The following is a 15989-nucleotide window of genomic DNA, read 5'->3' as shown; positions in this document are numbered from 1 at the left end:
AAAGTATGCCTTTAAGCTATCCAAAATGTTTGAAACAATTTTAGCTCTCAAACATTTCATACCTTTTAATACTCAATCTGTTCTTGAGAGGGTGAATTCTAAATTAAGGCCATTTTTAAATGGGACTTGGTGGTGTATCTGGTCTTTAGGTCCACAGTGAAATTGATTTGTAAAGCGTGTTCCTTTGCATGATTTTAATGCAGACAAAATACATGCCTCCAAGGTAATAATGTACAATCTGTACATTGCTAAAAGACTTAAGTTTTAAAATTCCTTCCTTGTGAAATTGAAAATAAGTTTCTTCTAAGCAATTTACCCAATTTCGAAGCTTTGACTGGTTTGTCAACAAACCTTTTTGAGTTGTGCACATAGAAATAAAACAGGGATAAAACTCAATCATATCTAGAGAGAGAATATAATTGAAGTTTTTTAGAATAAAAAATTTCAAAACTTTTTCTTCACATTTTCACCAACCTGTTTGCTCTATTACAAACTAATTTAAAAATTTGCTGTACTATAAAGAAAACAGTAGGTAATTAAAGTCTCTATATTGCATAAGTAAATGGACATGATATCAGGAAACAACTTTTACTTAAACACTTGAAGGTAGGCCATTTGTATATATTATTTTGAGAAATGTCTATTACAATCTCTTGTCTATTTATTAATCACCTTTTTTCCTATTGAGTTGTTTGAGCTCCTCATATATTCTGGTTATTAATTCCTTGCCAGATGAGTAGTTTACAAATATTTCCCCCCCTTCTGTGGGTTGTCTCATCACTTTGTTGATTGTTTCCTTTGCTGTGCAGAAACTTTTTAACTTGCTGTGATCCCATTTGTCCATTTTTTGGTTTGATTGCTTGTGCCTCTGGGGCATTGGTCAATAAGTCTTTGCCAAGACCAATGTCCTGGATAGTTTCTCCAATGTTTTCTTGTAGTAGTTTCATAGTTTAAGGTCTTAGATTTAAGTGTTTAATCCACTTGGATTTGATTTTTGTATATAGCAAGAGATACGGGTCAAGTTTAATTCTTCTGCATATGGATATCCAGTTTTCCCAGAACCATTTAATGAAGAGACTCTCTTTTCCTCAGTTTATATTCCTGGCGCCTTTGTCAAAAATGAGTTCACTGTAGGTATGTGAATTTGTTTGTGGGTTCTCTATTCTGTTCCCCTGGTATATGTGTCTATTTTTATGCCAGTACCATGCTGTTTTGGTTACTATGGCTCTGTAGTATAATTTGAAGTCAGGTACTATGATTCCCCCAGTGTAGTTATTTTTGCTTAGCATAGCTTTGGTTATTCTGGGTCTTTTGTGGTTCCATATAAATTTTAGGATTATTTTTTCCATTTCTCTGAAGAATGTCATCGGTGTTTTGATAGGAATTGTAGATGGCTTTGGGTAGTATGGACTTTGTAACAATATAGATTTTTCAAATCTATGAATATGAAATGTCTTTCAATTTTTTTGTATCTGCCTCAATTTCTTTCATCAATGTTTTATAGTTTTCATTGTTTAAATCTTTTTTTTTTTTAACTCTGTACTTTTTATTGGCCTCCTGCTCCCCAAAGGGTACCCTGCTTCTGCTGGCTTAATGCCTCAGAACTTTGGTGTTGTTGGTCTCAGACACCACTTTGCCATCCACTTTCCGGCGGGTGGTGGTCTTTTGGATGGTTTGCATGGAGTTCCTGCTGTCCAAGGCATCACCAAGAGTGAAGTCCTCGCCATCTTCCAGCAGGCGGCGGTAGGTGGCGATCTCAGCCTCCAGCTTGACCTTGATGTTCAGCAGGGCCTCATTACTCCTGGGCCTGGCACTGTCTCTCTGCCCGGGTCTGTGCCAGCTCTGACTCCAGGTGCAGCAGGATCCCGATGAGCTGCACCATCTGTAGGGAGTAGCGGGCCTCCACCTCCCTCGGGTTGTTCTCCAAGCTGGCCTTCAGATTTCTCATGGAGTCCAGGTCGATCTCCAAGGACTGGACTGTACGTCTCAGCTCTGTGAGCGTCATCTCAGCAGCTCCAACCTCGGCGGACTGTGGTGACCACTGTGGTGTTCTCCTCAAACTGCTGAGGCCAGTATTTGTCTAGCTCCTCTCGGTTCTTCCCAGCCAGGTCGTCATATTGGGCCCGGATGTCTGCCATGATCTTGGCGAGGTCCTGAGATTTGGGGGCATCTACCTCCACGGTCAACCTAAAGCTGGCAATCTGGGCTTGTAGGCCTTTTACTTCCTCTTCGTGGTTCTTCATGAAGAGCAGCTCCTCCCTGAGAGCCTCAATCTCTGTCTCCAGCTGCAGTCAAGTGACATTGGTGTCATCAATGACCTTGCGGAGCCCATGGATGTCGTTCTCCACAGACTGGCGCATCGCCAGCTGTGTCTCATACTTGACTCTAAAGTCATCAGCAGCAAGACGGGCATTGTCAATATGCAGAACGATGCAGGCATTGTCCACAGTATTTGCGAAGATCTGAGCCCTCAGGTCCTCGATGGTCTTGCAGTAATGGCTCCAGTCTTTGACCTGGGGTCCCTTATTCTCCAAGTGCTCCCGGATTTTGCTCTCCAGCCTACGGTTCTCAGTCTCCAGGCTCCTCACTCTGTCCAGGTAAGAGGCCAGGCGGTCGTTCAGGCTTTGCATGGTCTTCTTGTTCTGGATGCCTCCCATTCCTGCCAGACCCCCAGCCATCCCCGCGGCCAGGCCCCCAGGCCCCATGCCACCCCGGAAGCTGGTGGAGCGGGACACGGAGATCCGGGAACCAGAGCCCCCGGCGCCTGCATAGACGCTGGCCGCGCTGCTGACCGGCCGGGCGCCGTAGCTGGGCGCCTGGACAGAGCCCAGTGACTGGTAGTTGGTGGAGAAGGTGGACCGAGTGGTGAAGCTCATGCTGTCCGGGGAGGAGAGAGATAGGACAGGACTCAGGCTTTGCCGACGATGGTGGCCCATTGTAGAAATCTTTCAAGTTTTTGGTTATTTACTCCTGGATACTTTGTTTTATTTTTAGCTATTGTAAATGGTGTTTCTTTTTTGGTTTCTTTTGCAACTTATTTGCTGTTGGCATATAGAAATGCTACTAATGTTTTTCTATGTATGTTGGATTTGTATCCTGCAACTTTACTAATTCCAATTTGTTTATCAGTTCCAATAGTTTTTTGGTGAGGACTTTAAGGTTTTTTTAAATATAAGATTACGTTGTCTACAAACAAGAATAATTTGACTTCTTCTTTTTCAATTTGAATGCCCTTTATTTCCTTCTCTTATCTAAGTAGAGAACTATGTTGAATAAAAGTGGTAAAAGTGCACATGCTTTTATTGTTCTTGATCTTAGAGGAAAGAGTTACAGACTTTCCTTGTTTGGTATGATACTAGCTGTGGGCTTAACAAATGTGACTTTTATTGTGTTGATATATGTTCATTCTATACCCAGTTTTTCGAGAGATGCCAATCAAAACTACAATGAGAAATCATCTCGCCCCAGTTAAAATGGCTTTTATCCAAAAGAGAGGCAATCACAAATTCTGGCAAGGGTAGGGATAAAAGGGAACGCTCCTACGCTTTTGATGAAAATGTAAATTAGTACAACCACTATGGAGAACAGTATAGAGGTTCCTCAAAAAACTAAAATTAGACCCACCATATGATCCAGCAATTCCACTGTTGGGTTTAAATCCAAATGAAAGAAAATCAGTATATCAAAGAGATATCTGCACTCCCGTGTTTATTTTGCAGCACTATTCACAATAGCCAAGAAATGAAAGCAATCTAAGTGTCCAATGGATGAATGGATAAAGAAAATGTGCTGCATATTCAGAATGGGTTATCATTCAGCCATAAAGAAAATGAAATTCTGTCATTTGCAACAACATGTATGGAGCTGAAGGATATTATGTTAAGTGAATTAAGTCAGACACAGAAAGACAAATGTTACATGTTTTCAATCATATATGGCAGCTAAAAAAAAATTTGAACTCAATGGAGGTTGAGAGTGAAATGATGATTGCCAAAGGCTGGAAAGCATAGAGGAGACAGAAGGATAAAGTGAAGATAGTTAATGTGTACAAACATAGAGTTAGATAGAATGCATAAGATCTAGTATTTGGTGGCACAATAGGGTGACTCTAGTTAACAGTATTTTGTTGTTTATTTTTAAATAACTAAAAGAGTGGAATTGGAATGTTCCTAAAACAAAAAAATGATAAAGGCTTGAGATGATGTGTTCTCTAATTACCCTGACTTGATCATTATACATTATATGTCTGTATCAAAACATTACACATACCTCATAAAAATATACAACTATTATATACCCATAATAAAGTTAAAAATAACAAATAAAAATAAGCACTTGAAAGTCTTATTTTATTAGTGAATGTCAGTTTTGTAAGTTCTATAGCATATTTTCTCTTTCTGTATGTTCGTATGCCTTGCTAAACATATTAAGCTCTGCACACAACTTAGGACATAGTTTGGAAACAGAGATTTCATTTGAGAAGTACTTATATTGATCATATATTATACGCATGTCTATACTTATATTAATACTATATTATTTACATTTTCTATTACATATAGCATATGTAACAGAAAACTGGAATAAGAAATAGGTCATATAATTACCATTTCAAAAATATCTATTTCAACTTTATTTTAGGCAGATGTTTACATGTTTTTGTATATGAAAGCATGTTTTTTAAAATCCATAAAGAAAAATTTGAACTTATTTCAATAATGTTCACTATCATAAATATTGCATTGTTCCCCCAAAGTAATGTTCTATTACTTTCACTTTAAAATGTGCTACAAAATGAGAAAGATAGTGATGTTTATTCATTGACAGTATTTTTCCTCCTAATACATCAGTTTAGAGAGATGCATCTGGATGGACAACTTATAAAACTCCAAATAAATTGATTATTTTATTATATAGATCTTAATATTTACATATAAAATATTTAAGGAGATGAAATAATTGAAACGAAAGTATGGTTTTGGAAGTGCAAGCTGACTTGATAATTCTCTTTATAAATATGTTTTCATAATCTCACATGTGATATTAGCATGGACTGAAGTTGTGATTTCTTGTAATCACAGTGAATTACTGACAGCTTAACAGTAGTACCATGCTGGCATTTTCAAAGAATTGGAGACTTTGATTTATTTTCTATATTTATATTTTTTCTCTCTAATATATATCTTATTGGGACTTTGTAACTGTATGAACACAAGCTTTGGCAGAAATTTTTAGTCTTGGAACCAACTGGTTATTTATATGTTGTATTGTAACACATGGGGAAAGGAGGGATCCTTGAAATCATAGGCCACATCTAAAAATACAGTCTCTGAATAATGCTATTGTTTTAACTATTAGGGAAATCATATCAAAGAAAAAATGAAAAATAAATGTATTAGAAAATTTGTTTTCCATTATAACAAAGGAATGGAATAAAATCAAATCCGTTTGCTTGATATTGAAAGATATATGATTATTATTTTAGTTTAAATATAAATTATTTTAAAATTTACTGTTTAATGGCAATGTTCATGCATAATTGTTATCCACAGAATTACTTAGTTTTACATTTTCAAGTATCAATGGATAAACCAGACATATGGGAATTTGGCTACAGATTTTAGGAATAAACAAGAAAAGACATTTTCCATGTGGTGAAACATATTGGATATCTACTGTGGAGAACCAATCTTCTTAGATGATATGTTGATAAATATTTTATGTCAGCAAAGAACAAAGCATAAAAAGCAGTGCCACAAACATGAAGAGGAAGCGAAAATACAAGCAAGCTATTTCAAACAGAATTAAATAAAAGCTTATATGCGCAGGAAGAGGAGGGGGAGTATGAGGAACTTATTTTATCAGTCTGACAGATTAACTCACTGCAAAAGACATGTTAAAAGGTTTTTTGAATAAACCAAATGCTGTCTGCCTTAAAAATCATCTGCACTTCATGATTAGAAGATACAGATTTAAGGTAATGGCTCTTTGGATACTCAAAATATAAATATTATATTTTGGTATTTGTAAAAGGAGAGTATACCGCTAAGAGATAAAATGTTGCCTAAGTTTTAGTTCTTATATAACAAGGAAGGAGATATAAATCTTTAATACACTATAAATTTGATTCTGCATTTGTCTGAGTTCCTATTAATCTCTCCCTTTACTTTGTTTCTTTAAACATAAAATGATGTTTCTGCTACACAGTTTGTAGAATTCACACAGAAATTAGTTCAAATACGCATATTAATATTGCTAAGAATTTGACTGAAATTTAGTCTAAGAGAATATAACCATGACTAGCTAAGATATTTATTTAAACTATAAGCCAGTCCTATCCATTCCTCGAATGCACATTGTGCTCAGATGAAATATCATGTCCCATGATGAAAAATATATATCCCCGATCCCTAAGAAGCAATATTTTCCTATTCTCTTTCAATTTTTGTACTCTGTTGTACAAAGAATTACCAGTGTTCACTTATTTTGCATGGACATAACTCACTGAAAAACTTTCCGAAATGATTTTACTTTTAAAAAGTAGAATTAACTTCAAGTCAGCATGTACTTTTGCTCATGGAAATTAAAGGGTATTTTTTATAATTTGCCAAAATTCCCAAAACACAATGTGAGTTTCCTAAAATACAACAATCAATTCTTCTGATTTTTCCCCTATAATTTGAAATCTTATACGAGAATTTCAAGTGTCAAGACAGAGAGAAATGTACTCATATCTTGAATAACAAATACATTTGGTTTAAGTAAGATTTTGAAATTATATTTTTTCCTACTAGAAGAGATTTTTTTAAGAATACAAATTATCCCCATAGGTTGACTAAGTTAAATAAGAATTTGTCATGTGATTTTGAATTAGATATGGATAAACTTCCTAATTCTTTTTTTAAATTTTCATTAAACTGTTGTTATTTCCTATAAATAATTAATGGAATAACTTGAAAAGGAGGTCATGTGTGGTGGCTCATGCCTATAATTCCAAGGCTTTGGATGGCTAAGGCAGGAGTATGGCTTGAGGCAAGGAGCTCCAGGCTAAAGTGAGCCATGATCACACCACTGCACTTCAGCCTGGGAGACAGAGTGAGACCCTGTCTCTAAAAATAAATAAATAAGCCAAAGTTAGTGCATCATTACATTCTTTCAACATTACACTATATACCAGTATTACTGAATTCTGAGGACCTTTCTCAAAATCCCTTCCTTTTGAAAAATGGGCACCATCAGGAATGGGCACATAATGTTCCCAGCTATCACTTGGCCCTTTAGCTAAAATAATTTAAATGAGATACATTGAGAAGAAGACATGATTAGCAATGAACTATATAATCTAAATCAAAGATTTAGGAGTCATAAAGGTATCACAGAATGTAGCACTGATACTAATAAAAACATGATGCCACAAAACACACAAGTGTTAACACAAATGCAAAACTTCCTGACAACAAAAGTCACTAAGAACAAATCCTTTACATAGGTGAAACTATTTTCTGGCAATATATAATCAAAACCCAGTCATATTCTAGGGAAAAAGATACATGCAGAAGCAAATAATGCATTAACACATTTCCTCAAAATATTTTCTCAAAATTTTTGTGCAAGATTAATGTATATTTAGTTTACATAAGGTTTACATAAAGGATAAGCTAAAATTGTGTCGGGTATGATGCCACCTTAAATAATATTTGTTGAATTAATGAAAACATGTTGAAAGTTTAAGGGTCAATATGTCACAATTACCCTGTGATACTCATTCCAGCTCAGTGAAAAGGAACAAAGCCAAACCTAAGAATGAAAGAAAAAATTGTATTTCATTCATGCCCATATCTAATCCATTTCTCACCCTTTTAAGACAAATTTCCTAAATAGTCTTTTTCTCAGACTTCTTTATAACCCATTTCTTTCATAATGAACATTCTTCTGCATCATCAACTTAGTTTTCCAAGCCATGAATTCTTCACCAATAAGAATTTCTGGAACACTGTACTGTACTGTTCATATCTTTTAAACTTAAAAAAAGAAAAAATATTTTTGCTAACTATGCCTGTTTGTGTAGAATTTCCAAATCTAAAACACCACCAAAATAGAGCATTTCTGACACTCGTTGAACCAAACATATTATTGATTATTTAGTATGTTTCAGGTCTTGCTATGTACCAAGAACACTGTGCTGAATAAATGACATTGTCCCAGACCCGACTTAGCACTTATTTTATATGTTTGTGTATATATATGTATTTAGATAGACACATATTTAGATACACATATATTTTACATATAGATATATAATATCTATATATACTGATTATATATAAATATGTATATATACACTACACATATAATTATATATAATTATAATACATATAATTTTATTATATGTTTAATTTATATCTGTATGAAGATATGCTAATTTACAGGCCTGTATTTAGCATTTTTGAGCAGTCTTTTCATTCTGTAATTAGTATGCTGTGTAACTAATTTCACTTCTGTGAGCCACTTTTTAAAATGGGCAGGTGAGGTGACATTTTTCTATAAGTGATTGATTCAAACTAATTATCTTTATACAAGTACAGATACAGATTATGGAACATCAGCCCACCGGAACTATTACTGTTATTTTAAATTTTACAATATATTCAATTTATACGCACACAAAGCAAGTAGGTACAGTTTTCATTGAAAATATTATTAATATAGCAAGAGTCAAAAGACCACACAAATTTCACCTGATTCGCAAATACCTGCAATCACTTTACAAGCTCTGACTTTTAAGAATGTAGGTATTTTAAACGCTATTTCAAATCAAAGAAATACCTTCTTTGGTTTTCAAAAGACATGTAGATCATACACTGTCTCAGCAGAAAAAATTATTGAAAAATAATTTAGTAGACAATAGAGAAAAGTAAAACACAGCACTGTATGTCGTACCATAAAAAGAAAAAAACCCATAATCTCATTCTGTTAACTAAATAGTTGGAGAGGATTCCATGAATATGCCTTTTGAATTTGATAGCATTTCTTGTGTCAAAATTTGACTACTGATTAGAAAGACAACTGACAGAATTTTCACATCTCTACCATTACATTGCTTACTTGGTATGCAACTTCACAGACTTAATGTAGTTTGTAAAGTCAGTATACAGGAATTCATCTTCCTATAGTTTCATAAAATAACATTAATTCGGATGAAATTTAGAACAGATACTCATGACTACAATATTTGCTATGAGTTTCTATATGGTTGTCCTGTGTGATATGTGATATGGTGGTCCAAAAAAATGTTTATCATAGTGTAATTCACCAAAATAAGCCACTTCACTAGTTTGCATTGACTTAGCAATAAAGGAATTCATTTGTTCTCTATCATTAATATATAATCCCAAATTAATATTTAATACTGCATAGATTGTGTCATTACCGGTTACATTTATAAGACAGATTTAAGAGAAGTGGAGAAGTATTTGTCTACTTCAAACACTGTTATAAATATTGACATATCCATAAAAAGGCAACATAATTATAATTCCACATAAGTCATTCACTAAGAATGCAAGGTAACTTGTAAAAGAGGGGTAGGAGAAAATAACAAAAACTAAAATATGCGGGTAAAATAAGGAAGACAAAGAGGGGCAGAATAAAATAACAAAAACAATAATACAGAAGTAAAAGAAGAAAGACCCAAATACTCCAAGTGCTATATTAGATCATATTTAATATTATATAATATATAAACTTGCTGGGGGTGGTGGCTCACGCCTGTAGTCCCAGCACTTTGGGAGGCCGAGGCAGGCAGATCATGAGGTCAGGAGATTGAGACCATCCTGGCCAACATGGTGAAACCCCGTCTCTACTAAAATACAAAAAAATTAGCTGGGTGTGGTGGGGCATGCCTGTAGTCCCAGCTACTTGGGAGGCTGAGACAGGTGAATTGCTTGAACCCAGGAGGTGGAGGTTGCAGTGAGCAGAGATCATGCCACTGCACTCCAGCCTGGTGACAGAGCAAGACTCCATCTCAAAAAAAAAAAAAAAAACATATATATATATATATATATATATATATATATATACACACACACACATCTATATTATACAAACTACTATATATGTAATTTTTCTGTTTTTAGCAGCTTTGCAGTACAGTGCTCAAATATCATTTTAATACTTATGCTATCAGGATGGGCTCATCTTTCTTACAGAGAGTTCAAAATTATTTTCATTCTTATAGAAAGTTTTTGCTGTAGATGTTAGTGAGCTCAGAAATGAGTAATTACTTGCTTGAGTTTATAAAGCTGTTAATATTTGAATCAAAATCGTATGGTTCGGATGAATATATTCTTTCTTTTGATAAATATTTGGTTTTGATAAATGAATTTCTACATGAATAAATATTCTCAGAAGGCATTTAGTCTGGATATAATATGGGTACATCTCTCTCTCTATCGACATAATTTGTCTATCCATATCCAAATACAGATAATATTAATATACAATAGAATTCACACATTTATGTGAACTAAAATATAACTTCACAGTCCTTCAGTTTTCATATCAGTTCCATGAATAACCTCAGATTAATAAATATATGATGATGTATAGTAGATGAAACTTTAATACCCATTTGAATCATTACCAGTCACCCTCCTGTTTCCTACATTTTGATTGTTAAACAAAACACAGAATTTAGTCTAGGGAGAATTTGACGTAATTAAAGGAAAATTTTCATTTCTGTCTGTCTACTAAAGTATTCTCTGATCATCGAATACTGTTAAGCAGTCAACTACAAACAAATTAGAATGCCAGAAGTTTGTGGCTCCTCGCTAAGTCAATCTGTATTAATCAGGTTTCATTGCTTTTCTTATCATGAAGTCTTTTTTATGTTACATTCAGCCTAACAAAGTCTTGAGAATATGCCTACTTAGCAAACACATTTTCTTACCCTGTAACGGAAATAATCGGTAGACTCAAAGATAAAACTTTACTTTTGTTCTCACTGGAACTCAAGTGGTGAATGATTGAAACACATTTTAAGGTTTTCCATTTAAATCAGTGGTTTTTAAAATTTGCATACACATAGATCAAATAGATAATTTTACAAAAATATTATTTCCAGGCTACACTCCCAGGGAAAATAATGATATTAGTAGGACATAGCATTAATATTTCTTTTTTGCCTTTTTAATTTTGGTAAAACATACATAAGATTTATATGTTATATGATGGATCTGCACATGAAAGTTTGAGGTACACTGATTTTAACTATTTAAAAAAATTATGCAAATGTACTTGTTTCATTCAAAAATTCATACTTTTGATTAAAGGCTAGGGTTGCTGTCGTGTAGCAGTCGGGTTACTGTGAAGGTATGGGCAAACTGCAAACAAACTTCTTGAGATATTAGAATGATCAAAAATTAAGTTTAGATTTGTAAATACAATGGTAAGTTGTGAAATCTTCCACAATTGGATGTCCTACTCTGATATAGCAAATGCATCAATATTAATAAATTGGAAACTTTTTTGACAGGCCTCTACTTAACCAACTCATTCGATTAAATAAAGCTCATTATTCTCACAGTGAATAAAACATTGACTTGATGAAGTCAACAAGCTTTATGTCCTCACCTCAGCTAGGATGCCACTTTACAGTATACCCACTCACTTCTGAGCCAAAGCGAGTTTATGCTTAAGAAAAGTCAGATATTGTTTTAAAATACATTTACATGAGCTGCATTTGCTATTGCAACCATTTAATTTAATTAAAATCTCATATAACCCAATGAAATGTTAATATAAAAATAATTGCTTCAAAGAAGATGAAATTGAACTTTTCAGAAAGATTACAAAGGGCAAAATGCTGCAATGACTTGTCATAGAGTACTGTCTGAGCAAGAGAACTACAGAAGATTCAGAAAAAGTATCATAAAACTCTAGAAGCATTCCATACTCAGAACACTTTTCAAGAGCACTTAAAAACACACTCCATTTTATGGGAACAAAAACCGGACACTACATATTATGTAATATTGGTAGAGTGTATGTAATAAATATGGTGCATTGTGCTAAAATCAGTGAACATACATCCAAAGGCAAGGCAAAGATTCTACATCAAATTATGAAAGATAAATGTACACTTCTTTGTTTCAAGTATTTATTTATCATATATATGTAACATATATGAGATATGTATGCATTTCTTAATGATTTACCTGTTCATCTGATTGCTTTGATGAACCATCTTACCTCTGATTCTGACTGTGACTGTTAAAAGAGCGTCTACTGGAATTAAATGGGGTTATGTGCTTACCAATAAAATCTTGATGTTCTATAACCTTCTAACCAAAGATTTCTTAGCCTAGCATTGTGAATAAAATTTAGCTCTAATATCTGATATCTGAGGTTGTATTCTTGGTGTGTATTTCTTGAGTGTATATTTGTGTGAGGAAAATTTTCCCAATGATCTGAGATGGATACAATGTAATTGACTTTATCTTTACCATTTCATGAACTCTATAATAAAGTTATTATTTATTCAATATATGCAATATTGATTTTTTAAATTATACAATTATACTGTTCCAAAATTTTAAGAGAAACACTATGATACATTAGTATCTGTTACACCTACCATGTGCCAGGGGGTCTCTTTTTGTATGCATTTTATCATTTCAACAACTCTCTGACATAAATACTATTTTCATTCCTGTTAAATCAATGGGGAAACTGAAGTTGAGATAGAAAGGTAGGTGACAGAGCTGAGAGTCTAACAAAGAGTTGCTGACTCTAGAGCTTTTTGTGGGCTTAACTACTGCATGATAATGACCTCCAGAATATTTTCTGGCAGAATGGGCAAAGCGCAATGTAATTTGAGCTCTCATGTATGATTCAAATATAATCACGATACTGTGTGTTTTAACCCATGCTCTATCATTATTTTTTTGTGAAATTTGTGCAAATAATCTATCCTTCTCCAGCCTCAATTTCCACATCTTTAAAATGGGGTATTTGTGTATATTATTATAAATGTTCACTTTAACTTTAAAAGAATTTTTACACTCTCATATCAGGGACTAAATTTTGAATTAATAGGTTGACCAGAAATTCAGTTTCTGTTGCTTGATGTTTCTTGGTCTTCCACTGTTCATGAGAATGATCAACCATCTGGGAATAGTGTGGTGACAAATAAAAAATATTCAGTTTAATAGTTTATTACAATTTCTAATACAGAAGATTGAAGCTGCTATACAAGAAGTTAATTTGAAAGTTGTGTAGTTCTCAAATAGCTATGTTGCCCTGATTCTATTCAGTTGACTATTTGTTGAGATTTTTCTCTAAAAATAAAGATCTAGACTCCACCTGTAGGTTAATAATTGTAATCCATCAAGAATGAGCAAAAAAATCAGAGCATGCCTATGCTGATCTATCTTTTCTGAATCAATTTAGTAGCTGAAGGGTGTCAAACACTTGTTAAGCTTGGTAAATCGAAGTAATGACATATTACATTATAAGAGGACTTTAGAAAAGTCCTATCTGCTACTGCACATTTAAGTGATGCCTATCCGAGGAACACTAAAGTAATCTGCAAAAGAACAGAGCTACTTATGTGAGTCATTCTAAAAAGATATGAAAAAATATGAAAATCTGTTGCTGTATATTTTTAAACATAATGCTTTTGCCAGCTAGCAAACAATAAAATTTCGGCTATAAGAAGTTACTGAAAACTATCGAAACCACATATACTACTTAGCCAAAACTTGGACTCCCCAAAATTCTCGAATTGTAAAGAGTTAATTAAGCTAATTAAGTACCCTTTCTCCACCACACACACATATTCTTGGTGGCGTATATGCTCAGTCTCTTTAGTTATCATTTTAAAAGATAGAGGAAATTTCGTGTGTTAGTCCATTTTCACACTGCTAATAACGACATACCTGAGACTGGGTAATTTATACAGGAAAAGGGTTTAATGAACATACAGTTCTACATGGCAGGGGGTGGAGGGGGCTCACACTCATGGCATAAAGCAAGGACGAGCAAGTCACATCTTACATGGATGGCAGCAGGCAAAGAAAGAGCTTGTTCAGGGACAATCCCATTTTTAAAACCATCAGATCTTGTGAGACTCATTCAGTACCAAGAGAACAGTGCAGGAAAGACCCACCCCCATAATTCAGTCACTTCCCACTGGGTTCCCCCCACAACATATGGGAATTGTGGGAGTTACAATTAAAGATGAGATTTGGGTGGAGACACAGCCAAACCATATCATTCCGCCCCTGGTGCATCCCAAATCTCACGTCTTAACATTTCAAAAACAGTCATACCTTCCCAACAGTCTCCCAAAGTCTTAACTCATTTCAGCATTAACTCAAAAGTCCACAGTCCAACATCTCATCTGAGACAAGGCAAGCCCCATTTGCCTATCAGCCTGTAAAATCAAAGGCAAATTAGTTACTTCCTAGATACAATGGGAGTACAGTCATTGGGTAAATACAACCATTTCAAATGGCAGAGATTGGCAAAACAAAGAGACTACAGGCCCCATGGAGGTCCAAAACTCAGCAGGGCAGTGAAATCTTAAAGCCCCAAAATGATCTCCTTTGACTCCATGTCTCACTTCCGGGTCATGCTGATGCAAGAAGTGGGTTCCCATGATCTTCAGCAGCTCCACCTCTGTGGCTTGGCAGGGTACACCCTCCCTCCCAGCTGCTTTCATAGGCTGTTGTTTAGTGTCTGTGGATTTTCCAGGCACGCAGTGCAAGCTGTCAGTGGATCTACCATTCTGGGGTCTGAGGGACAGTGGCCCTCTTTTCACAGCTCCACTAGGTGGTGCCCCAGTAGGGATTCTGTGTGCAGGCTCCGACCTCACATTTCCCTTCCACATTGCCCTAGCAGAGGTTCTCCATGAGGGCCCTGCCCCTGCAGCAAACTTCTGCTAGACATCCAGGTGTTTCCACAAATCCCCTGAAACCTAGGCAGAGGTTCCCAAACCTCATTTCTTGACTTCCATGCACCCACAGGCCCAACATCACATGGAAGCTGCCAAGGCTTGGAGCTTGCACCCTTTGAAGCCATGACTCGAGCTGTACCTTGGCCCCATTTATTTGTGGCTGGAGTGGCTGGGATGCAGTTACCAGTTCCCTAGACTGCACACAGCACAGGGACCTGAGCCTGGCCCACAAAGCCATTTTTAAATCCTAGACCTCTGGGCTTGTGATGGGAGGGGCTTCCACGAAGACCTCTCACATGCCCTGGTGACATTTTCCCCACTGTCTTGGTGATTAACATTCAGCTTCTAATTAGTTATGCAAATTTCTACAATTGGCTTTCATTTCTCCTCAAAAAATAGTAAATTCTTTTCTATCAAATTGTCAGGCTGCAAAATTTCTGTACTTTTATATCTGTTTTCCTTACAAAACTGAGTGCCTTTAACAGCACCCAAGTCACCTCTTGAATGCTTTGCCACTTAGAAATTTCTTCTGCTAGATACCTTAAATCATCTCTCTCAAGTTCAAAATTCCACAAATCTTTAGAGAAGGGGCAAAATGCTACCAGTCTCTTTGTTAAAACATAACAAGGGTCACTTTTGCTCCAGTTCCTCATTTCCATCTGACACCACCTCAGCCTGGACTTTATTGTGCATATTGCTGTCAGCATTTTGGGCAAAGCCATTCAACAAGTCTCTAGGGAGTTCCAAACTTTCCCACATTTTCCTATCTTCTTCTGAGCCCTCCAACTGTTCCAACCCCTGCTTGTTACCCAGCTCGAAAGTCACCTCCACATTTTCGGGTATCTTTTCAGCAGCACCCTACTCCTGGAACCAATTTACTGTATCAATCCATTTTCATGCTGCTCATAAAGACATATCTGAGACTGGGTAATTTATACGGGAAAGGATTTAATGGACTTACAGTTCCACATGGCTGGGGAGGCCTCACAATTATGGTAGAAGGCAAGGAGGAGCAAGTCACATCTTATAGGGA

At 35.4% G+C, this 15989-nt stretch overlaps 1 protein-coding gene and 1 pseudogene across 13 annotated transcripts in view, besides 1 other annotated feature; both read right to left on the bottom strand.

Moving 5' to 3' along the window:
* Positions 1-15989, bottom strand: part of PCDH11X (protocadherin 11 X-linked) — an 843856-nt gene that overhangs the window by 160688 nt on the left and 667179 nt on the right. The window lies entirely within an intron of this gene.
* On the bottom strand, positions 1534-2932 carry KRT18P11 (keratin 18 pseudogene 11; annotated as a pseudogene).
* Positions 1866-2366: an enhancer, noted in NCBI's record as "H3K4me1 hESC enhancer chrX:91715176-91715676 (GRCh37/hg19 assembly coordinates)". NCBI's record gives its function as "activates a minimal SCP1, AML or CMV promoter by ChIP-STARR-seq in primed H9 embryonic stem cells {active_cell/tissue: H9 hESC(primed)}" and the evidence as "EXISTENCE:reporter gene assay evidence [ECO:0000049][PMID:30033119]".

The sequence above is a fragment of the Homo sapiens genome, chromosome X (genome assembly GCF_000001405.40).
Source record: "Homo sapiens chromosome X, GRCh38.p14 Primary Assembly".
In the NCBI taxonomy this organism is placed as follows: Eukaryota; Metazoa; Chordata; class Mammalia; order Primates; family Hominidae; genus Homo; species Homo sapiens.
The sequence above is the reverse complement of the archived record's forward strand: the minus strand, read 5'-3'. Positions and strand labels throughout refer to the sequence as shown.